The sequence below is a fragment of the Homo sapiens genome, chromosome 20 (assembly GCF_000001405.40).
Source record: "Homo sapiens chromosome 20, GRCh38.p14 Primary Assembly".
Lineage (NCBI taxonomy): Eukaryota > Metazoa > Chordata > Mammalia > Primates > Hominidae > Homo > Homo sapiens.
Genome location: NC_000020.11, coordinates 48,751,398 through 48,773,870, shown reverse-complemented (window position 1 = coordinate 48,773,870; position 22,473 = coordinate 48,751,398). Strand labels below are relative to the sequence as shown.

Here is a 22,473-nt window from a genome sequence, read left to right as displayed (position 1 = left end):
AGTCTGTTGTTCACACACAGCCAGATGGCCCCTTAAGAACTCAGGTCAGATCCTGTCCTTCCCCTGCTCAGAACCCTCCATGGCTCCCACCTTACCCAGAGAAAAGCTGAAGACCCCACTGTGGCCCAGAAGGCACTGCACATTCTGGCTCCTGGTTAAGTCTCTTGCCTCGTTTCTTCCTGCTCTCACCTCGCCCTCTCTCAGCTTTCCTTGCTGTTCTTTGAACACACCGGGCTCACTCCTGCCTCAGTTCCTCTGCAGGTGGTATTCCTGCTGTCTGGAACAGTCTCCCCTAGATAGCCACATGTCCCCACCTCTTCATGTCAGTCTCAGCTCATCTGCTTCTCAGTAAGTACCTGCTGAATGAATGAATGAGGTCCCAGAGGTTCTGTCCTGAGACAGTTCCTTGCTGCTCTGTGGTTGGTGCATTGCTGGTGCATCACATGCTTAGCGGTGATCAGGAAAGGGGCTAGTGTGGGGCACTTGGAGGCCAGAGGTGCCTCTGGTAGGATGTGGTAGCTAGATGCCAGGATGAGAAGCTTGAACTTAATAATTGGTATGGACATTCCTTTTTCTTTCCTTTTTTTTTTTTTTTTTTTTTTTTGAGACCAAGTCTCACTCTATCACTCAGGCTGGAGTGCAGTGGCGTGATCTCGGCTCACTACAACCTTTGCCTCCTAGGTTCAAGTGATTCTCCTGCCTCAGCCTCCCGAGTAGCAGAGATTACCGACACCTGCCACCTCACCCAGATAATTTTTGTATTTTTAGTAGAGACGAGGTTTTGCCATGTTGGCGAGGCTGGTCTTGAACTCCTGACCTCAGGTGATTTGCCTCCCTCGGCCTCCTAAAGTGCTGGGATTACAGGCATGAGCCACCGCGCCTGGCCAGTTATGGACATTTCTTGAGCACCTACTGTGTGCTGGTAAGCACTTTACAGGTCCTCTCTTACTTAAATCTTTTTAGTAGCTCTTGTTGTGGATCCTGTTTTGCCCATTTTACAGATGAGTAAAACTGAGGTCGGCGAACGTAGTGACCTGCCCAGGGATATGTGGTCCCTGAGTACACTTGTTTTGATTTCTCCAGACAACTTCGCCATTGGCCTTGGCACTCAGCCATGCGGCCATCCTGGCTGGACGGCAGTGGACAGGGTGAGTCCTAGCCCAGCCTGCTCTGCCCCTTCCTCCTTCCTCAGCCCTCAGTTTCAGGGCAGTAAATTTCCTCAGCAGACATGAAGCGATTTGTATACTGTCGCCTTTCCTCCCGCTGAGCTGCCGACTTCCTTTCCAGCTTGATGTGGTGGGAAGTTCCGCAAAGAGAAAAAGGGAACTGCTGGGTCTGTGTCCCGTGGTTGGTGGCTGGGGCAGTATTTGGGGCATTGGAGTGCTGTCCTCCTATGGCACTGCTTGGGCTGGGGCATCTCTTCTGCAGGTATGGCCATGGGCACGTCTCACCCAGTGTCACAGGGACAGGGGCCGGCCTGATTCACCAGAAACAGGGCTGCCACGAGCTGCGCACCTGCGCCTTCTTGGGGGCATGGGCACCCTGCAGGGCCATACCTGTGCCACCCAAGAAACCTGGCCCAGCTTTCTGGAACCCCAGTTTTGCTCAGTGATATGGCTGGACACATTATTTTTACTTTTTTATTTTTTTAGTTATTTTATTTATTTATTTATTTTGAGACAGAGTCTCGCTCTGTTCAGCCAGGCCGGAGTGCAGTGGCTCGATCTCAGCTCACAGCAACCTCCGCCTCCCAGGTTCGAGCGATTCTCTTGCCTCAGCTTCCTGAGTAGCTGGGACTACAGGTGCCCGCCACCACGCCTAGCTAATTTTTGTATTTTTAGTAGAGATGGGATTTCACCATGTTGGCCAGGGTGGTCTCGAACTCCTGAACTCAGGTGATTCGCCCACCTCAGCCTCTCAAAGTGCTGGGATTATAGATGGGAGCCACCGCGCCCAGCCTAGACACATCATTTTTAGAGGAAAATCAAATGCAAGTAATAATAATAGCAAAACACGCTTGCTGAATGCTTCTTCTATGCTAGTGCGTGGCATCACACCCTGCCCACAGGGCTGTGGTGAGGATTTATGGGTTTCTGTTGAGAAAGCACTTGGAACCGTGTCCGGCATGAAGGAATTCTTAATGAGCATCAGCTGGGCCTCGGGTTCCTCCTCCGCATGGTGATGGGGCTGCACGGCTGATAAGGCTTGAACTTTTGTTGCCTTTTTTTATTTTGAGATGGAGTTTTGCTCCTGTCGCCCAGGCTGGAGTGTAATGGCACAGTCTCAGCTCACTGTAACTTCTGCCTCCTGGGTTCAAGCCATTCACCTGCCTCGGCCTCCCAAAGTGTTGGGATTACAGGCGTGAGCCACCACGCCCGGCTAGAACTTGTTGCCTTTGGCATCATTTTAGAGCAATAAATTGGTGCAAACCCTTTGGCAAAACACTTAGCGGAGACAACAAGAGACTCCCAAACAGTGATTCCCCTGGAATTGCAGGGGATCCCACTGCTGAAAAAAATCCTAAGCATGGGGGGAAAATCCCCAGATACTTTTATGTACCAGGTTACTCATTGAAACACCACTGTGAGCGCTCAAAATCGGCAACAACCTAAAGGTCGGATAGGGAAATGGTTAGGGACATGAGCCACACCCATTTCCTTAGCCACTGTGGACCACTGGAAAGGTGACATGCAAAATTATGTGCAACCGGTGATGACAGCCATGCCTAAAAACTGCAGGAGACGCCATGGAAGGTGACATGTTGAAATATTGACAGTGGGCACTGTCAGAATGTGTGATTTCCAGTTTTCTTCCTATGACTTTATTAATTTTCCTGATGAAAGGCAACTGTACATACTGAAACCAGAAGACTCAACCAGCACCTTCTAAACCTGGTGCCCCATCGCAGGTGCCTGGGGAAGCATGTTAACAAGGCAGATGCCCAGGCTCCTCCCTCTCCCACTGCGTTGGAGCCTCTCAGTCTTCAGGGCCCAGGAATCAGCATTTCCACTGAGTGCCCCAGGTGATTCAGACGCCTGCTGTAGCCTGAGGGTCATGGATTAGGGCTGCCAAGGGGTTGCCTTGTGATTGCAAAGGTTTGCAAATCTGGGTCTCCAGTTTCCTTTCCTTCCTCACTTCTGCATGGCCAGATTTTTTTTTTTGAGATGGAGATTCACTTTGTCACCCAGGCTGGAATGCAGTGGAGCAATCTTGGCTCACTGCAACCTCTGCATCCCAGGTTTAAGTGATTCTCCTGCCTCTGCCTCCCAAGTAGCTGGGATTACAGGCATGCACCACCATGTCTGGCTAATTTTTTATTTTTAGTAGAGATGGGGTTTTGCCTTGTTGGCCAGGCTGGTCTCGAACTCCTGACCTCAGGTGATCCACCTGCCTCAGCCTTCCAAAGTGCTGGGATTACAGATGTGAGCCACTGTGCCTGGCTGGCCAGATCTTGCCTGTTTGTCAAGGTCATGCTCAGGGTCCTCCCTGACCTCCTCTGAGCTGCTTTCCCTGCCCTGCTGCCCATTCTCGGGTTCGTGTACCTCCTGGAGCCCTTCAGGGTTATCTGGGAGCTTTGGAAAAAGAGCTGATTTCCTGGCTTTTCCAGACCTCTTGAGTCAGACTGTCATTTCCTGGTATACCTCCTGGGCAAAACATGTGTTTTGAAAAGCTTGACAGGTAATTCTTATGCCCGCTTCCTGGGCATCAGACCCACTGACCTAGAGATGGCTCCCACCTGGCTTTTAAAACCAGATTTCTAATTGTTCTTTTTAATTGGTAAAGATAGCACATATTCTTAGCAGACAATTGAAATCCTGCAGAAAATTTTAGAAAGTCCATTCCGTGATAAACCTCAAATTTACCTCCTTGGGCTTACAAGTGATTTATGGAGCACCTGCTGTGTACTGAGTGTCCAGGCTGCCGCAGTGCACAATACAGACAAAAGCTCTCTCCCTCACCGTGTGTGCAGTGAAGACAGACAGTGAAGGTGTCAGCCAAGGAAAATTTGTAGTGTTCTCAGGTGGTAAGTGCTATGGAAAAACATGAAGCAAAATTAGAGGGCTGGGCTGCTGGGAAGATGTGGCAGTTTTCAATGGTGTGGGCAGGGCAGGCTTCACTGAGGAGGTGACGTTTGAGCAGAGACCTGAAGGAGCAGAGTGAATGAGTCATGTGGTTACGTGGTGACAGGCGTTCCAGGCAGAGGGGACAGCCAGTGCAAAGGTCCTGTGGCAAGAGCCTGTCTCATGTGTTTCTGCACCTTCAAGGGTGCCAGTGTGGGAGGAGATGAGGGAGAAGGGAGTTGCGTAGGAGGTGAGGTCACAGAGTGTGAGCTCATTCTGATAGCGCAGCCTCTGTTGGAGGATTTTAAGCAGAAAGGCAACATGCAAGGGCTCTTTGATGTACGAAGCCGGCCCCATGCCTAGTGGGTGCTGGGGCTCCTAGAGATGCCCCAGCGACGACGGTAGAGTAGGTGTTTGTGGCTGTCCCTGTGCCTGTGGTGGGCGGGGGACACCTCTCACACACCTGGAGAGGATCCCCTCAGGATTCAAGGCACGTCTCATTCAACGGGGCAGCCCCTCATCTCCCCTCCCCCGCACCACCACCCCCAGCCTCTTTGCTTCAGAACCTGAGAGCAGACACAGGCTTCCTGTTCCCGAATCTTCTTAGAAGCAGGGTTGGGAGGCAGCGAGGGGGTGTGTGTGGAGGGTGGCTCGTCTCTTTGGCAACGGGCCTCAAAGAAGCCAGGGCTTCGTGGATGCACAGTTGTAGAAGGAATGGGAATGGGGTCTGGCTCTGCCTGAAGCCAGAACGATGTATTGGCCCTCAGGGCTTGAGCCAGGACAACCCATGCGTGGACAGTAGACAAACCAGGGTGGACGGTGACAATCTCCTTTTAAACCCTTTGCTGAAAAAAAAAAAAGGGAATAGTTTCTGTTGCAGGATAATTACAGACAGTGAAGTGCACAGCTCCATTGGTGATTACGTATGCATCACCACCAGGTGAAGATCTAGAACATTCTTTGCCTCCAGAGTCCCCTTGAGCCCCTTGCCAGTCTTTATCCAGCCTTGAATGACGACTTTTCTTTTTTTTTTTTGAGGCAGAGTCTCGCTTTGTCACCCAGGCTGGAGTGCAGTGGCATGATCTCAGCTCACTGCAACCTCTGTCTCCTGGGTTCAAATGATTCTCCTGCCTCAGTCTCCTGAGTAGCCACCATGCCTGGCTAATTTTTATATTTTTAGCAGAGACGGGGTTTCATCGTGTTGGCCAGGCTGGTCTCGAACTCCTGAACTCAAGTGATCGGCCGCCTCTGCCTCCCAAAGTGCTGGTATTACAGGCGTGAGCCACTGGGCCCGGCCGAGTGACGGCTTTTCTAACCTCTGTCATCAAAGAAGGGTCTTGCCAGTTTTGGGACTTCGTAGATGTGGAATCCCACGGGTGGCTGCACCCTTTTGTGTCTGGCTTCTTTCGCTTGGGCCATGTTTTTGAGATGCGTCCAGTTTGCTGCGTGTGTTAGCAATTTTCTTTTGATTACTGAATCATTTTCTGTTGTGTGAGAACACCACCATTTGTTCATCCGTTCTCCTGTTGATGGACATTGGTAATTTTAAAATTTGAGTTTTTATTGTGTTCCATTCTCTGTGCTAAGCACTTTATGTTTTGAGTGATATTTCCTTGAATCCTCAAAAGAACACTGAGAGATAGAGGCTTTTACTCTGTGTTACATACATAGGAATGGAAGCTTGGAGGCTTATGGAACTTCACCTCCTTTCCCCTCTTAACCAGTATTTATTCAGCATCTTCTGTCTACCTCAACCCATGCTGTGGATTCAGCACAAGCAGCCAGAGACCCTCACCATCACGGAGCTGGCAGTGCGCAGAGAGGAGGACTCTAAATTAGCAAAATGCATAGAACAACACTTTGTGCTACCTGCATTACAGGGAATTAAAACAGATTATCGAGGTAGAGGGTGGCTCGGGGGCGACTTGTGGCTTGGGTGAGGCTGCTTCAGCCAGGATGGTCAGGGGAGGCTCTCTGTGGAGGTGATATTTGAGCATCCTGTGCAGTGACGATGAGGGGCGGGGAACAGCACGTGCAAAGTCCCTGAGGTAAGAAAAAGCCTGGGGTGACCTAGGAAGGGCAGACTAGGCATTGGGGCTGCAGTGGAATGAGACACACGACTCTGGGGAAATGTCGGGAAAGTACAGCGTGGTCTGTAGTTGGAGAGGGCTGCTTTTACGTCGATGCACTGACAGATAAGAACCCCATCAGTGATGGTAACGTAAGCGTTGGCATTTCACTCTGGTGCGACTCTGAAGTTAGGGTTCGTTATCTATTTCCTTCTCTGAGTTAGGTGGAAACTGAGGTTCAGAGGCCCACGTACCCTCCCCCGCTGACAGGTGGGGACTTGAACCAGCTTGTCTGACACCAGAACCTCCATCTTCCAGCTCTCAGCCATCCCCTCTTCAGGGCCCTCGTTTGAGGGGGCTTCTTCATGCTTCTCTGGTTCCATCATCTCCCCTCCCTCCTCGGGGGCTCTGTCCCATAGTCAGGTCCCCCAGGGAAGGAGCCATTGAAAGACTCCCTTGCAGAATCCCTGGTGAGCTGTCGTAGTCTGTGGTGTGGCTGGTTGTCACTGGTCTGGCTGGAAGGCAGGGAGTCGAGGTGGTTAGAATGTGTGGGCCTGACCTCATAGCCCCAGAGCTGGGAGCCCTTTGAGATCCTCTCATCTGACCACTGTTCCCCGTTTCGCGGACGAGGGAACAGAGTGTGGGAGCAGCTTTCTCAGGGTCCCACAGCGAGTCTGTGGCAGGGCTACATTTGGCAACCAGGTCAGCAGGCCCTGAGTGGTGGGCGCTGTGCAGATGGGGAAACTGAGGCCCAGAGAGGAGGAATCAGTCATCTGAAATCATTCAGCTAGTGTGCAGCATTTCTCGTAGTCCTCATGGTAATCCATGAAGCCGGCAGTGTTATCACACAGTGTCTATTTTACAGGTGAGGAACCTGCCCCAGAGAAAGGGGTCTCCCTCCCTCTACCCGTCCATCCACTCACTCACCAAGAATGAGCATAAATGAAAGAAGATGGAAACTGGGACTAAGTGGGACCTCTGAGAGGTCTTAGGCTGGTGGGCAAGCCTGTTATTAATTGAATCATCACATAAATCAAGGTTAAGTTATAGTCATGGTGGCACTAAGTATGGGAGCCTATGCATGGGTTTCCTGGGCCCTGACCAACCTTGGATCTCACTGGGGAGGGCAGGGAATGTGAGACTTGAAGCAGCTGGCAGGAGGGAGATGAGTGTTGCAGGTGGAGGGAGCACCTGTGCTGAGGCCTGGGGGCAGGAGCAAGCTGGGTGTGTTTGGGGAACAGCTGAGGATCCTGGAGGCCGGTCTGGCTGCAGCACAGCTTGGAGGCTGAGGTCAGGTCCTGCAGAGCCCTTCTGGATGGGGTTCTCAGAGAAGCGGGGAGCGGCTGATGGGCTGGGCAGGGCAGTGGGTGACCACATTTGCCTTTTGTGACGATCCCTTTGTGTCACTCCACCCAGGGATGCCTAAGTGATCTAGGCCAGTGGTCCCCAGCCGTTTTGGCACCAGGGACGGGTTTCCTGGAAGACATTTTTTTCCACGGACCTAGGGGTGGGGAAGGGATGGTTTCAGGATGATTCAAACACATTACATTTGTTGTATACTTTGTTTCTATTATTATTACATTGTAACATATAATGAAATAATTATGCAACTCACCATAATGTAGAATCAGTGGGAACCCTGAGCTTGTTTTCCTGCAACTAGACAGTCCCATCTGGGGGTGATGGGAGACAGTGACAGATCATCAGGCATTAGATTCTCGTAAGGAGGGTGCAACCTAGATCCCCGGCATGGGTGGTTTGCAGTAGGGTTTGTGCTCCTATGAGAATCTGATGCTGCTGCTGATGTGACAGGAGGCGGAGCTCAGGTGGTCATGCGGGCAATGGGGATGGCTCTAAATACAGATGAAGCTTTGCTTCTTGCCTGCTGCTCACCTCCTGCTGTGTGGCCCGGTTCCTAACAGCCCACGGCCCAGGGATTGGGGACGCTGATTTAGGCCTCCCAACTCCTGGTCTTCCCACGAGGCTACACTATTCTCCTTCCCCTAATTAAATTCTCCCAATTTTTGAACTGAAGAAGCAGTATAGCCCCATGGGAAAGAGACTTGGCTCTGAAGCCCCTGGGGCCTGCACTTAGGTCTGGCTCCGTCCTCCTCCTCTGCATGACTTTGAGCAAATAACTCTGTTCCTTGTCTGTGAAATGGGGGTGTAGGAGTCGCTTCCTCCTGTACCCCTGGCATTGGCATGCAGTAAGCACTTAATATGTGTTGCAGCTGGTTGTCGTGTCCACGTTTCATTGGAAATGCAGGCATTATCTAGTTCTGACAGCTTAGTATCCCAAGGTTTCCCTTATCTGATCTTTCTAAATGGCTTCTTGCTTTCTAAACTCAGGAACTGAATAGATCTGAATAGTGAAAGATACTTGATGTTGCTGTAATTATTATAGTAATTACTGTTATTAGACCATCTGTCCTTAATGAATATTTGTTTGTAGATACTTTTGTGGGTGGGGAAAGAAAGCATTTTGCAGCTTACTAAACATATGCCAAACAATGTATGAAATGTATAGCTAGACTGTATGATAATATCTGTTTTGTAGTAATCATAATAACAGAGTATTAGGATTGTGTTTGGCCGTGATTCATGGAGATACAACAGGTTTGCTTTTCTTTCGTGTACATGTTTCGAGCTAGCAGTCGTATTAGTTTCTTGTGCCTTTAAACAGCACAGATTTATTATCTTACACTTCTGGAGGTCAGGAGTCTGAACTGGGTCTTACGGGGCTGAAATCAAGGTGCCAGCAGGGCTGTGCTCCTGGGGGGTCTGGGGAGAATCCGTTTCCTTGCCTTTTCCAGCTTCCAGAGGCCCCTGCATTCCTTGGCTTGTGGCCTCGTCCATCTCCCAGCCAGCAGCATAGCGTCTTCTGGTCTTCCTCTGACCCCTGGCACTCACTCTCCTACCTCCCTCTTTTTCTTTCTTTCTTTCTTTTTTTTTTTTTTTTGAGAAAGAGTCTTGCTCTGTCTCCCAGGTTGGAGTGTAGTGGCGCTATCTTGGCTCACTGCAACCACTGCTTCCCGTGTTCAAGCAATTCTCACGCCTCAGCCTTCCAAGAGCTGGGACCACAGGTGTGCACCACCACATCTGGCTAATTTTTTAATTTTTACTAGAGATTGGGTTTTGGTATGTTGGCCAGGCTGGTCTCAAAATCCTGACCTCAAGTGATCCACCCACCTCGGCCTCCCAAAGTGCTGGGATTATAGGCTTCAGCCATCGTGCCTAGCCCCTCTTTTCCTTTTAAGGATCCTTGTGATTATGTTGGGCCCACCTCAATGCTATTGATAATCCCCCCCTTTCCAAGATCCTTACCTTAATCACATCTGCAGAGTCCCTTTTGCCATGGAAGGTGGTGTATTCACAGGTTCCGTGGATTAGTATGTGGACGTCTTTGAGGGATTATTGTTCAGCCCACCACAATGGTCAAGGGCTGTTGGGGCCTCTCTGAGAGTCCTCTGATGTCTGCAAGCTCTGGGTCCTTTCTGTCCTGCAAGTTCTCCCTCCTTTCACGTTGGATCAGAAGGCCTGGCACTGTATTGGGCTCCAGGGACAGAAGTTTCTTCCCTTGTGGAGCTTGGGGGTCACAACTTTAATGATGTGGCCCCATCACTAGTGGGAAGTGAGTGGCTGGTCAGGGAAGCTGAGATCGCAAGAGAGGGTTAGAGTGGATGTGGCAGAAAGTCAGAGCCTGGACTCTGATGGCCCCGAGGTCAGAGGCCAGCTTTGTCTGCTTAGCTGCATGCTCTGAGGCTGCCGCGTCAGCCACTGAGAACCTCGGTCTCCTTTTTCGTAAAATGGAGATGAGATTGTCTAGGATGAGGCAATCGTGGGAAGCATTGGGTACATAGTTGACACTCCCTAAACTGAAGACCCCAAGCTGCAGCCAAGCAGCCAGTGTCTGTACTCCTAAGACTGGCCCTTCTGCTGCCAGAATTCCCTCCCTGGGGCCGAGCAGGCTCTGGGAAAAATCAATGGGAGGAAACCTCCATGGCTGCACCTCCCTCACTGAGGCCTGGGCCCTGAATGCCACTATTTTTACATTCTCTCACTTTTGTGCATTGTTTCCTGACTCTACAAATACAATCCTTCACCAGCTAAGGGGGGACTGCTCGCCCTCCAGCCCCAGGAACAATTGTTTGGGAAGATGGAAAAAAAATAGTTGGACTGAGGAAAAAACAAAACCTCTTGAAAGTCATTGTCTTCAGATGTCAAGTGTCAGCCCCACAGAGAGGAGACCGCATTCCACTCATTGTCCTGCTGCAGACAGGCACAAGGACCCCAGGATGTCCAGCCACCCCGCCCTGCATCCTGGGGCCCCGAGTGACTTGGTTCTCTTTGTCCAGGACATTCCGGCGGGAAATGCCACCCAAAGCAGGGCCTGTTCCCAGCCACCACTGTCTCCGTCACTTGAGGCTTTTCCTTCCAGCCACACGCCCATGCAGGCCCCAGATGGGCGAGGGCTGGTGCTGACGATAAGGGCTACAGTTCGTACAGTGCTTCCTAGTGCATTTTATCCTAACCCATCAAATTCTCCCCATGCCCCCGTGATGCAGGTATCTATTTCTTTTTTCTTCTTTTGGTGTAATAGTGTGAGATATAATTCACGTACCACCATACAGTTTACCCATTTGAAGTGTACAGGTGAATGGTTTTCGGTATATTCATAGAGTTGTACCACCATCTAATTTTAGGACCATTTCATCACTTCAGAAAGAAACTTCATATTGGCTGGGCATGATGGCTTACGCCTGTAATCCCAGAACTTTGGGAGGCCAAGGCAGGTGCATCACCTGAGGTCCGTAGTTTGAGACCAGCATGGCCAACATAGTGAAACCCTGTCTCTACTAAAAATACAAACATTAGCCAGGTGTGGAGGCATGCACCTGTAATCCCAGCTACTTGGGAGGTTGAGGCAGAAGAATCGCTTGAACCCAGAAGGCGGAGGTTGCAGTGAGCTGAGATGGTGCCACTGCACTCCAGCCTGGGTGACAGAGCGAGACTTTGTCTCAAAAAAAAAAAAAAAAAAAGAAACTTCATACCATTAGCAGTCAGGTACCATTTTTATATCCCCATTTCATAGAGAGGGAAGCTGAGACACAGAGAGGCTGTTTAGGGTCACACAGCCAGCAAATGACCGAACCAGGATTTGAACCCAAAATACTTGGCTCTGTCTAGAGGCCATTTTCTTAGCTTTGCTATAATGCAATGGTTCTTAACCAAGGATGATTTTGCCTCCAGGGGACATGGGCAATGTCTGGACACATTTTTGATTGTCACAACTGAGGAGAGGAGGGTTGTTATTTGTATCTAGAGGGTAGAGGGCAGGGAAGCTGCTGAGTGTCTTATAATACTCAGGACATCCCTCACAGCAAAGAACTATCCACTGAACTGTCAAGGTACCAAAGTTGAGAATCTCTGCTAGAATCCCACTCTGATGAGCCCATTTTTCAGGAAAAAAATCAACAACTGAGGAGCCCAAAGGAGTAGGGAGAAGCTGGGTTGTGAATGGGAAGGATTTTAGACCATTTCTGACAACAGTGAAGGGAGATAAATTCTGAACGGCTTGGAGAAGACTTAGCAGGAAAAAGATCTGCATTCCATTAGTGATGTCTGCCCTGGGTGAGGGTAAAGGCGAAGTAGCAGGTTCAGGTTTGCCTTGCCTGTGTCTAGGACAGAAGTCTCACACTCAGGTGTTCACAGGGCGCAGCAGTGGGTTGGGTGGTGGGAAATTGAGGAGCACTTGTCCTGGGTGAAGGTGATGGCTATCACTCTGCTCTACAGCACCTGCAGCCTTGTGGGCATTTGAGACCCATGTGTCAGTTTTTTCAAAAGAAGCTTGGAATTTGGATTTTAATGGGAAACCTGATATTCAAACTTAGGCCCAAGTTTCTCAAACCCCTCTGCAGGCCAAAGGAATGATGCCTCTGAGTTACCAGTTTGAGACCCATAAGGTAGCCCCATCATGTAGAGGAGGCTCTGCATAAATATCTGTTGAAGGAAGGATGGGTTGTTGGTGAACTCAGGAAAGTTTGTAGGCCAGGCCCCAGCCCCTTGATGGGGGCTGCGTGAAGAAAAGCATTGGGTTCCTCTCAGTGTCCCCCACTGCCTTCCCCCACTGTTGCATCAGACCTCTTCATGACAGGTTGTTGCAACTTGTTTTTTGCATCAACTTCCTCTCCCGATGTGGTGGGGAACGGGGCGGGGTGGGGTGAGAACTGGGCACCTTTTACCAGGGCCTAGAATCTGGGTGGGGGTGGGAGTAGTCTACTCTAGATGATTGATTGACTAATTAATTAAACACATCCTTTTCGAGGGTCTGCTGTGTGCTGGGTCCAATCCTAGGCTCTGGGACACCACAGTGACCTAGACAGACAAACATCCTTGCCTTCCTGGAGGTGAGACTCAAGTGGGCTAGATGGATAATAGACTGATATAAACACACATAATGTCCATGGTGACAGGTGCTGTGAGGAAAACAGAGCAGGGATAGACGTTTTCGATAGGATTGTCCTGGAAAGACTGAATGTGCCTCGGGGCCTTTGCCCCGGCTGTTGACCCTGCCCATGATGCTGTGTCCTCCGATACACGCAATGCTGTTTGCTCCCTGTGTCTGCTCAAATGCCATCTTCTCAGAACGGCTTTCTCTGAACAGCTCCTTGAAATGGCATTCCCACCTTATCCTTCTCTGTTTTCTTACCCTGCTTTAGTTTTCTTTGTAGCAATCATTCCTACCTGCCATTTTATTTTAAAATCAGTGTATAGTCTGTCTCTGCCACTACTTTGTGAAGGTGGGGAGTTAGTCTGATTTGTTCATTCACTGATGTGTCATTGGCTCTTAGCGCAGTGCCTGGCACATAATAGGTGTGCAGTAAGTATTTGCTGACTACACAGGCGAATGTAAGAATGCATAAGTCCTTCCGTGGCAGGGTCATGGCTTATATCTGTGTCTCCAGCACCCAGCTCGGTGCCTGGTGCACGGCAGGCCCTGGTTAACACTTGCTGGGATGGTTGGTACTCGGAGAGGACTTGTCCCCCTAGAATATCATCACAAGCAACTTCCTGCCCCTTTCCTAGTCCAGCCTCCCTCTCCTGGCTCAGCCTTTCTGCCACTTTTTCCAGGAAGTGTTTGTAGTTACAAAGTGTTCACCTGCATCATTTCACTTAAACCTCAACAACTACTCCTCCCCCCCTTTTTGTTTGGTCCAGGAAATTGACTCAGAAGTGTGGTGACTTGCTGAAGTCACGTGGTTGGCAGTCAGCAAGGAGGATGGGGCAGGGCAGAGGGGTGCGCTGGTGGTGATGAGGATGTGGGGGGCTCTGCAGTTTATAAAGCCTTCCCCTTCTCATCTCACCTCAGGAGACTCGGAAGCAGGCAGTCTATAATAATAGAGCTATTTGCAGGATGGAAAAAACTAATAAAAATAAGTAAAAATAGTGTGGGATAAATGTGAGTGTGCTTGGTGCATGTAGAAGCCCTACAGATGTGGTTGATCCAAATCCAGGTTTCCTTAGGAAGCACAGTGGGTTCTGTCTACCTGCACCAGGGCTTGGACTCCCTGCAGACACTCTAGAAACTCAAGATGGGGAGATCATAATAGCCAATGCTTTTTTTTTTTTGAGGCAGGGTCTTGCTTTGTCATCCAGGCTGAAGTGCAGTGGTGCGATCTTGGCTCACTGCAACCTCTGCCTCCTAGGCTGAAGTGATGCTCTCACCTCAGCCTCTCGAGTAGCTGGGACTACAGGTGTGCGCCACCACACCTGGCTATTTTGTTTGTTTGTTTGTATTTTTGGTAGAGATGAGGTTTTGCCGTATTGATTGATTGCTCGAACTCCTGGGTTCAAGCAATCAGCCTGCCTCGGCCTCCCACAGTGTTAGGATTACAGGTGTGAGCTCACAGGTGTGAGCCTGGCCAATAATAGCTAATGTTTTTTGAGCACCTGCTATGCACCAGGGACCATTCAAGTGCTTGTTATGTGTGTTAGCTTCTGTAATTCTCATTGTAATCCTGTGTACTCATTTTATCCCCCGTTATAGAGGAGGAAATGGAGGCAGAGAGAATAAATAATTTACTTCAGGTCTTAGAGCTTGTAAGCAGCAGAGCTGGGATTTGAGCCCATTTAAATGCTTTGCCTGTAGTATTTCTTTTTTTCTTTCTTTTCTTTTTTTTTTTTTTTTTTTGAGATGGAATCTTGCTCTGTTACCCAGGCTGGAGTGCAGTGGTGCGATTTCAGTTCATTGTAACCTCTGCTTCCCAGGTTCAAATGATTCTCCTGTCTTAGCCTCGCAAGTAGCTGGGATTACAGATGTGAGCCACCATGGCTGGCTAATTTTTGTATTTTTTGTAGAGACAGGGTTTCACTATGTTGGTCAGGCTGGTCGCGAACTCCTGACCTCAGGTGATCCACCCATCTCAGCCTCCCAAAGTGCTGGTATTATAGGCGTGAGCTACCGCGCCTGGCCTGCCTGCAGTATTTCATATCAGCCTCACAATAGCCCATGAAGTCAGTAGTTTTATGGTCCCCATCCATGTTATAGATGAGGCCCAGAGAGATGGAGTCAGTTGCCTAGGTCACAGAGCAGTAGGTGGCAGGGGCAGGATTTGAACCAGGTGGCTAGTTCTAGCCTTTGAGCCTCATCCACTCTTACATACTGCTTGCTTAGGAGATACAGTGCCCTTCTAGCAAGGAGTAGAGAGAGTTTCTAAGGGTAGGGAGGGCTTCTGAGAGTTGGGGCATGGGAGGAGGAGGTGGAATGCTGGCCATATCTTTGGCCTCCGCAGGGGAATGTGTATGGGTTCCCCGCAGATGCAGCCTGGATTCAGGTGGGCTAGATGGATAATAGACTGATAATGAACACACATAATGTCCATGGTGACAGGTGCTGTGAGGAAAACAGAGCAGGGATAGGCGTTTTCGATAGGATTGTCTTGGAAAGACTGAATGTGCCTTGGGGCCTTTGCCCCAGCTGTTGACCCTGCCCGTGATGCTGTATCCTCAGATACACGCAATGCTGTTTGCTCCCTGTGTCTGCTCCACGTGAAACCTGCCTCCACGTCTGACCGGGGACTGCCTGTGGTTCCGCAGCCACCTCCTCTGACCTTCAGCCCTGCACATGTAGAGATTTTCCCCATCAGCTCAGAAGTATTTTGGTGTTTTAACAGGCAGCGAGGCCGTCCTGGTGTGTATTAGGAGAACATCTGCTGAAGTGCCTGGCCTGTGTGGCTGCGGTGCTGCAAAGCCCTGTCTTTCACCCCCCCAAGCTCGGGGGGGCCCTACACCCTCTTTCTTTTTGAGGCTGCATTGCGACACCTCAACCACTCCAGGGCACACCAGAGGGACGCTCCACTGCCAGCACCTGCGCTCCTCTGCCTGATGGCTTTGTCTGCTCTGAGCTGCTCTGTCACTTTCAGGGAAGATGGGGAGTGCCAGGATCACCCCCACTGCCCTTAAACTAGTGACAGACAGGGCTGATGTACAGACTCCCTGGCCTCCTCACTCCCTGAGGGTGGCTGTGAGGTGTGCGTTCCACACGGTCTGTCTGGGGCCTCATGGTGGTAACTTGCTTGGTCTCATACCCTTCGTGGGCTGCCTTCCCTTCTTGGTTCCACCTCCCTGTTGGTGTTTCCAGGGACCATCTCCCACCTCCCACCTCCCAAAGAAACTACTTGTACTCCACTTCTTGCCTCAGGGTCTGCTGCATCTGGGGAACCACCCCAAGGGTCCTGTCATGGTACACCCGCTAAGATGCACCCACAGCACACACTCCCTGCATTCTCTGTGCACATAGCCACAGGCAGAGTTGATTGGTAATTTTGTAGACATTTAAATCAAGATTTATTCTTTTTGACAATGCAGTTTTCCTTTTGTATTTGGAGCCAATGCACGTATTTTTAAAGGCCTCCAACATTTCTATAGGTCCAAGGAATGGTGCCAAGGAAATGTGCCCAGGGAAGGGGCCTGGTCTGAGCTGGTCCAGGGGCTACACGGAATTGAAAGTGCCCACCCCTTCACTGGACATTTACTGAGGACTTATTGGGCACCTCCTGTGATCCTGGCTGGATCCTGGGGGCCGGGGGCTCCCACCGTGGGCAGAGGCAACAAGTTATTTACAAGCAGTGTCAGATTTAATCCTCATGTCAGCGACTTGCAAGGTGAGGCTCCATTACACAGATTTTATAGATGAGGCAACTGAGGTGCGAGGCTTGGCCGACTCCAGAGCCTAATGTGTGATTCATGCCCTGTTTTCCTCTTTCCTAAAAAGGGGATGCAGTAGCCCACCTTGTGGGATTGTTATGCAGGACGAACATGCTGACCATCAGTCACCTGCTGAACCCCTTGTTACTGGGCATCTGCTCTGTGTCCAGTCCAGCACGGTTCTAGGTCCAGTGGGTGGACACTGCCCAAACAAGCTGCCACCCTCCTGGGACTGACTTTGTAGGGGACACAGGAACTGTAAGTGAAGAAACAGCTCAGTGCAGGTGGAGGGCAGTGCTGTGGGGGATGGAGGAGGATGAGATACAGTGTGCAGGGGAATGGGTGTCTGTTTCAAATGGAGCAGTCGGGGAAGGCCTCAGAAGAACTGGCATTTGATTCTAGAGGGGAATTGATATGGTTTGGCTGTGTCCCCACCCAAATCTCACCTTGAATTGTAGCTCCCATAATTCCCATGTGTCATGGGAGGGACCTGGTGGGAGGTAATTGAATCATGGGGGCGGGTCTTTCCCATGCCGTTCTCGTGATAGTGAGTAAGTCTCACGAGATCTGATGGTTTTATAAAGGGGAGTTCCCCTACACAAGCTCTCTTGCCTGCCGCCATGTAAGACATAACTTTACTTCTCATTTGCCTTCTGCCTTGATTGTGAGGCCTCCTCAGCCATGTGGAACTGTGAGTCAATTAAACCTCTTTATAAATTACCCAGTCTCTGGTATATCTTTATTAGCAGTGTGAGAACAGACTAATACAGGAATGAATTGAGGGTGGGGCCCTGCAGATATCTGGAGAAAGAGTCTTCCAGGCAAAGGGAACAGCAAGTACAAAGGCCCCGGGGTGGATGGTGCCTTGGTATATTCCCAGGAGGCCTCAGTTGTAGGTTCTTTGTATGCTTTCAGGAAGAAATTAGCCTGTTAAAGATACAATTCAAAGCAATATGTTTGTGCTGTGGACTATATAATGAAATGAGTTATAGATACATATATGGACTTTGTAAATGTGCCATGGGAGTAAAGGAGTAGTAAGTCTGACTTTGTAAAAAAAAAAAAGCTATCTCTTCCCAGTCCTCTCAGAGTATGTCTGTGACTGAATGAGTCAGCGGTGGAATCCTTGGGGAGGATGTTTCAAATCCAAAATTTGGGTCTTTTGGGAAAGCCTCAGTTGGTTCTGAGCCAGTGGCTCTCTGTTTCTGGCCCCTGGCATGGACGTGATGAAGGAATGCTAGGTGGGAACAGAGTGGAGAGGGTTTTAATCAGCCTGGGCAGTGGTGTGGGCTCTGGGTGGTGGACATTCTTGTGTTCTGGCCCAGGCTGTGGAAGCTCCAGGCCAGCTTGTGGGGGTCCCCAGGTTTCCAGAGTTGACTCAGAGAAGGAGGGCTGGTCGGCAGCTCAGAGGCTCTTCTGCAGAAGGTAAATCTTTCCATCTCATATTTGCCTTGCCGCTGCTCTGTTCCCCACTGGCGGGCACTGCCTTCCCTGCACAGGGATACACATATCCAAGGAGGAGAAGACAGAAGCCAGGGGTCCTGATGATTGGGGCAGGTGATGGGGTGGGCGAGAGAGAGCCTGTGTGTTTAGTACCCCTCCCATCCAGAAAAATAAAAACATGCATTTATGTTAAAAATGACTTTTGCTTAAAAAGTAGCATGTTCATTGTAGAAATCTGGAAAGGGAAATAAATGAAGAAAGAAGAAAATGGAAATTCTTTAGAATGCCCCTCTGTCAGTTAGGATTAGGTTCAGTGGCTTGTGATAAAACCCAAATAACAGTGTCTTAAATGTGATGAAAGTTTATTTCCTTATTCTGTAATTATAGGTGACCCAGGGCGGATATGTTGGCTGTACCATCACTAGGAACATAAGTGCCTACTGAATGCTGCTCTGTTTTCCCCAACACGTGGCTTCTACCTCATGGTATAAGATGTCTGCTTCACTTCCAGGCATCGCATTTGCAATCCAATCAGTAGGAAAAGGGAATAGCAGAAGAGAATCCCTACCCATTCCTCCCCCAACCCACAAGGATACTTCCAAGATGTTGTACATAATATGCCATGTATGCTGTACTGACCTGAACTTAGTTGCATGCCCACACCTAGCTGCAAGGGATGCTGGGAAATACAGTCCTTATTTTTAAATCTGGAGTTCTGTTTCTAAAGGAAAAGGAGAGAATGATATTGGGGGACAGCTAGTAATTTTGGCCACATTCCTACATAGTTTCTTGTAGTATGGGTATTTCCTTCCATACTTCATTTTTCTATGCCTAGGGAGAGAGAATTTATTTAACCAACAGTGAGATTATATTTTATGTACTTGTTTGTAACTTGATTTTTTTTCCTAGTTAAGGATACATCAACAGTCCTTTTCCGTGTTATTAAATAGACTTCTGCAAACTATTTTTAGCATGATCATTCCTTGTTGAGCTGGATGGTAATTTATTTAACTAAACCCCCAGTGATGGAATTATAAATCAGATATTGAAGGTAAAGCTTCATGCCACATATGAGATTTATTTTCCCCTGTAGGATAAATACCCAGAACTTGGATGGATGGAGCATAGGATTTGGGCATTTGAAGGGGTCATTGGGCAATTGGGGAGCTCCCCAGACTCTGGGCTGTGTGGGGCGGCTTGCAGCAGGCTGTGTAAGCCCCCTTCTGCTGTTATAGCGATTTTATTATCATCGCTCAGATTCCAAGGCCCTTGCTGTTCCATGACACTGTGCTTCCGACTCCCCGCCACCCAGATCATGTTGGGGATGGGGTCCTCAGGGCACCCCCTTTTGTCTTGGCTGTGTTCTGGAGCTCCCCCCACCCACCCCCACTCATCGCTTCCCTTTGCTCCCAGCCCATACCCTGGCCCTCTCAAGTTTCACCATATGTCTGGTGAGGTCACCCCAGCCACGGCAGAGGTGTCCTTGGGGGCAGTCGGGCCCCCTCCCCAAGCAGATCAGGTTGCCGGCATCAGTCTCAGGGAGTGACTTCAAGGCCTCTTTCTGTCCTTTTTATCTCCAGGGAGAGATTTATCCTCCCCAGGCAACAGCAGCCATGGGTTCCAGGCAGATGGCAGCTCCCCAGGGGCACCCCTAAGGGCAGCTGCTACCTGTTTTAAAGGCTGATGCGGTTCATTGTCCACAGTCACTCACTGATGGCGCGTGATGGAGACTGTCTGGGTTTAAGGCCCAGCTCCTTCACTTGCCAGCCGTGTGGCTTTAAATAAGGTCTTTACTGCGCTGGGCCTTAGGCTCTTCTGTAGAATGGACATAGTAATAACAATGCCTGCCTCCTCGAGTTTGAGGATTAAAACACCTAGAGCAGCACCTGCACATAATGAGGCCTAAAGGTGTAGTTAGTGAGTTAAAAAGGTGTTCTTATTCTAGTTGCCTCTCCCAGCTCGATATCAGCTTACTTTCTGGAGCCTGTTCTCAGTTTCTCCCTGTCTCTCCCATCCTTTCTCCACATACCAGTCTCTCTTGAGCACCTGCTGTGTGCCAGCCTCTGTCCCAGGCGCTGCGTAGACGGCCAAGGAAATTGACTTCTGCCCTGAGGGAGCTGATACTTTAGTGAGGGAGATGATACTGAATGATCAAACCTATCCATACTTAATTGATAAGAGCACAGCCAATAGCGGAGACGTCTGTGAAGGGTAACAGGGTTCAGGTGGCTATGTAGTGGGTGAGATCCTCTCTTATATGGGTCCAGGGGTGGCCTGTGAGAGGAGGGACCTCTCCTGCCAATTGAATGTCTTGGGAAAAGCTCTGTAGGCAAAGAACAGCACGTGCGAAGGCCTGGATGCTGGGGGCCTGGTGTGTTCAAGAAACAAAAAGGAGACCAGTGTACCTGCAGCTGAGCCAGTGGGGTGAGAAGAGCCCGCATTAGACAGTATTTGGGCGGTGGAAGAGGTTGGATTTTTTTCTAGGTTTTAATTAGAGCCTTTTCTGAGGCAAGGATTTCTTGACCTTGTCACTGTTGTTTGCGGTCAGCTGTGTCTTTGTGGGGTTGTCCTGTGCACTGTAGGGTGTTTCGCAGCATCCCTGGCCTCTACACACTAGATGCCAGGAGCACCCCTGTCCTCAGTTGTGACAACCCAAAATGTCTCTAGACATTGGCACATGTCTTCTAGGGGGTAAAATCACCCCCAAGTTGAGAACCACTGGGCTCAGGTTAGGGCGACAGGTGAGACCTGGCCTGGCATCGGGAGACCTGGTTCTAATCTGTGTTTTGTCACCAGTTTGCTGTTTGACCTCAGACCAGTGTCTCATACTCTTGGTATCTCCATTAAGTGGGAGCTTGTTGGAGATGGCAAACTCATCATCCTTCTAACCCTCTCCCTGCCACATCCATGGCAGACATCACTAATCAATTATGATGTGGCTTCCTGCTCAGTCTAGAGCTCTGGGGACCCTGGAAACACTCAGGCTGGGAGCTGAGTAAACAGTCTCTCTGGTCCTTCTCTTATGCCCCAGAAGACCTGGATATACATTTAGAGGAACTTGAACGCCTGGGCTCGAGGAAACATGTGCATCACCTAGAGGAACTTGTATACCCATACCCCAGTCGACGAGAGTATACAGCTGAAAGAACTTACACCTGAGTGCCATTGTTTACAGTAAGGATGTTTGAAACAAGTGTCTGCAGCATGGCAGTGGTTACTTCATGCTGTGATTTTGACTAGTAAGCAATGAAATGAACAACTTGAGGTCTGTCTTATTGTGGATTCCCCAAAGAACATGACCCGAGACTGATTCAAGGGCAAGTAGCATACTTGGGAGGTCACCCCAGGAAGCATCAATAGGAGAGTGGGGGAGTGAGGCAGGGAGGAGAAGGCAGCCAAGAAAGGTGTGTCATCAAGCGGGTTACCATGGGGGCCACCGGAGCTGAATCCATCAAGGCACTCGGGGAGATAGTGTCCATCGAGTGCCTCAGTTTCCTCATCTGTCTTTTCATGCCAGGTCCTGCTGGCCATCACTGAGGGCTGCTCCCAGGCAGTCTTACTTCTTCCGCACCTCTGGCCTGCCCTGCACATGAGAGCGGGGTCTTCAGGCCAAGAGATGCAGGTGCTGGCAGCTCGATGTGGTGTGGGGTAAGGGTGGGGTCTGGATAGCAGATGTTGCCCAGTGTACATATCAACATGGGTAAATGTGGAAGACATGATGTTGAGTGAGAAAATCAAGTTGCTGAAAGCATGCTACTTATAAAAATGTTGTGAACATGCAAAACAATATTCTCTCTTGCTTATAGATGCACACAGCTTGGTAAGTGGGCAGAGGCATGCGTGGGAATGAGGAGCACCAGCTCCAAGTACCTTGCAGGGAGAGAAGGTGCCCAGTGGCTCACCTCTCTCTGTAATGATTCCTTTCTGCCTTTTCTACTTAATACATGGAGGTTTGATATTTGCATGGTACTGTGGGTAAACTGAACTAATCTCGAGTGCATACTGCTGGGGCTTTGCATATGCAGTGACCTGTGTCTCCACTGCTCAGATCAAGATATAGAACATTTCCAGCACCCCCAAGAGCCTCCTCATCCCGTTTCCAGTCTGTGCCTCCCCTAGACTTGTTGAATTTCTTTTTGCAAATGGTTTCAAGCAAATTCGGTGTAGTATTAAGATTTGCCAAAGCTGGGTAGTGATGAGTTTGTGGGTGTTTGTTGTTTCTCTCTATTCTTTTCTGTATCCCTGACGTATTTCATCATCACATTCATAAAATGAAGAGGAGGACTTGGGCAGATGTGAGGACAAGTGGTCCAGGCATGGGCAAAGCTTCCGAGGCTGGAGGAGTTTCTCAGGCAGCCCTGGAAATCCTGAGAACAGTATTGTGTCTAAGGGAGGCTTCGGAGATGAGAGCTGCTTTTGACCTGAGTGTTTCAAAGCTGTCAAGCCTTGGACAAAGGAAGAGTCGCCCTGGAGGGTCCCTTTCACCATCCTGCCAGTGCAGGGGACGCCGTGCTGCCTGGAAAAGCCAGTCGTGCCTTGGGCAGCAGGAGGGCTGGTCCCAGAGCCTCTGCTGCCCATTCTTTCCGGGTCACGAGCTGCCCATTGTGGCCTTCACACCGGCTTGTTTGCAGTTCCTCAGTGGGTGGCCCGAGCCTCCCATTGTTGCAGCACAATAGCGGTGGCAGAGCTCGTGT

The 22,473-nt window shown here is 49.8% G+C and overlaps 1 protein-coding gene across 4 annotated transcripts in view, besides 8 other annotated features; it reads left to right on the top strand.

Annotated features, from left to right (window-relative positions):
- The window catches only part of PREX1 (phosphatidylinositol-3,4,5-trisphosphate dependent Rac exchange factor 1), a 263,934-nt gene that overhangs the window by 114,315 nt on the left and 127,146 nt on the right, over positions 1–22,473 (top strand). The window lies entirely within an intron of this gene.
- Positions 1,766–1,987: a silencer, noted in NCBI's record as "fragment chr20:47388421-47388642 (GRCh37/hg19 assembly coordinates)". NCBI's record gives its function as "represses an EF-1alpha promoter that drives an FKBP-Casp9 reporter gene in an ReSE screen in HepG2 liver carcinoma cells {active_cell/tissue: HepG2}" and the evidence as "EXISTENCE:reporter gene assay evidence [ECO:0000049][PMID:32094911]".
- Positions 8,807–8,985: a silencer, noted in NCBI's record as "fragment chr20:47381423-47381601 (GRCh37/hg19 assembly coordinates)". NCBI's record gives its function as "represses an EF-1alpha promoter that drives an FKBP-Casp9 reporter gene in an ReSE screen in K562 erythroleukemia cells {active_cell/tissue: K562}" and the evidence as "EXISTENCE:reporter gene assay evidence [ECO:0000049][PMID:32094911]".
- Positions 10,199–10,974: an enhancer, noted in NCBI's record as "H3K27ac-H3K4me1 hESC enhancer chr20:47379434-47380209 (GRCh37/hg19 assembly coordinates)". NCBI's record gives its function as "activates a minimal SCP1, AML or CMV promoter by ChIP-STARR-seq in naive H9 embryonic stem cells {active_cell/tissue: H9 hESC(naive)}" and the evidence as "EXISTENCE:reporter gene assay evidence [ECO:0000049][PMID:30033119]".
- Positions 12,421–12,470: an enhancer, noted in NCBI's record as "active region_18039". NCBI's record gives its function as "activates an Ori minimal core promoter by ATAC-STARR-seq in GM12878 lymphoblastoid cells {active_cell/tissue: GM12878}" and the evidence as "EXISTENCE:reporter gene assay evidence [ECO:0000049][PMID:35858748]".
- Positions 13,001–13,050: a silencer, noted in NCBI's record as "silent region_12986". NCBI's record gives its function as "represses an Ori minimal core promoter by ATAC-STARR-seq in GM12878 lymphoblastoid cells {active_cell/tissue: GM12878}" and the evidence as "EXISTENCE:reporter gene assay evidence [ECO:0000049][PMID:35858748]".
- Positions 14,851–15,845: an enhancer, noted in NCBI's record as "H3K27ac-H3K4me1 hESC enhancer chr20:47374563-47375557 (GRCh37/hg19 assembly coordinates)". NCBI's record gives its function as "activates a minimal SCP1, AML or CMV promoter by ChIP-STARR-seq in primed H9 embryonic stem cells {active_cell/tissue: H9 hESC(primed)}" and the evidence as "EXISTENCE:reporter gene assay evidence [ECO:0000049][PMID:30033119]".
- Positions 15,258–15,337: an enhancer, noted in NCBI's record as "active region_18038". NCBI's record gives its function as "activates an Ori minimal core promoter by ATAC-STARR-seq in GM12878 lymphoblastoid cells {active_cell/tissue: GM12878}" and the evidence as "EXISTENCE:reporter gene assay evidence [ECO:0000049][PMID:35858748]".
- Positions 22,118–22,247: an enhancer, noted in NCBI's record as "active region_18037". NCBI's record gives its function as "activates an Ori minimal core promoter by ATAC-STARR-seq in GM12878 lymphoblastoid cells {active_cell/tissue: GM12878}" and the evidence as "EXISTENCE:reporter gene assay evidence [ECO:0000049][PMID:35858748]".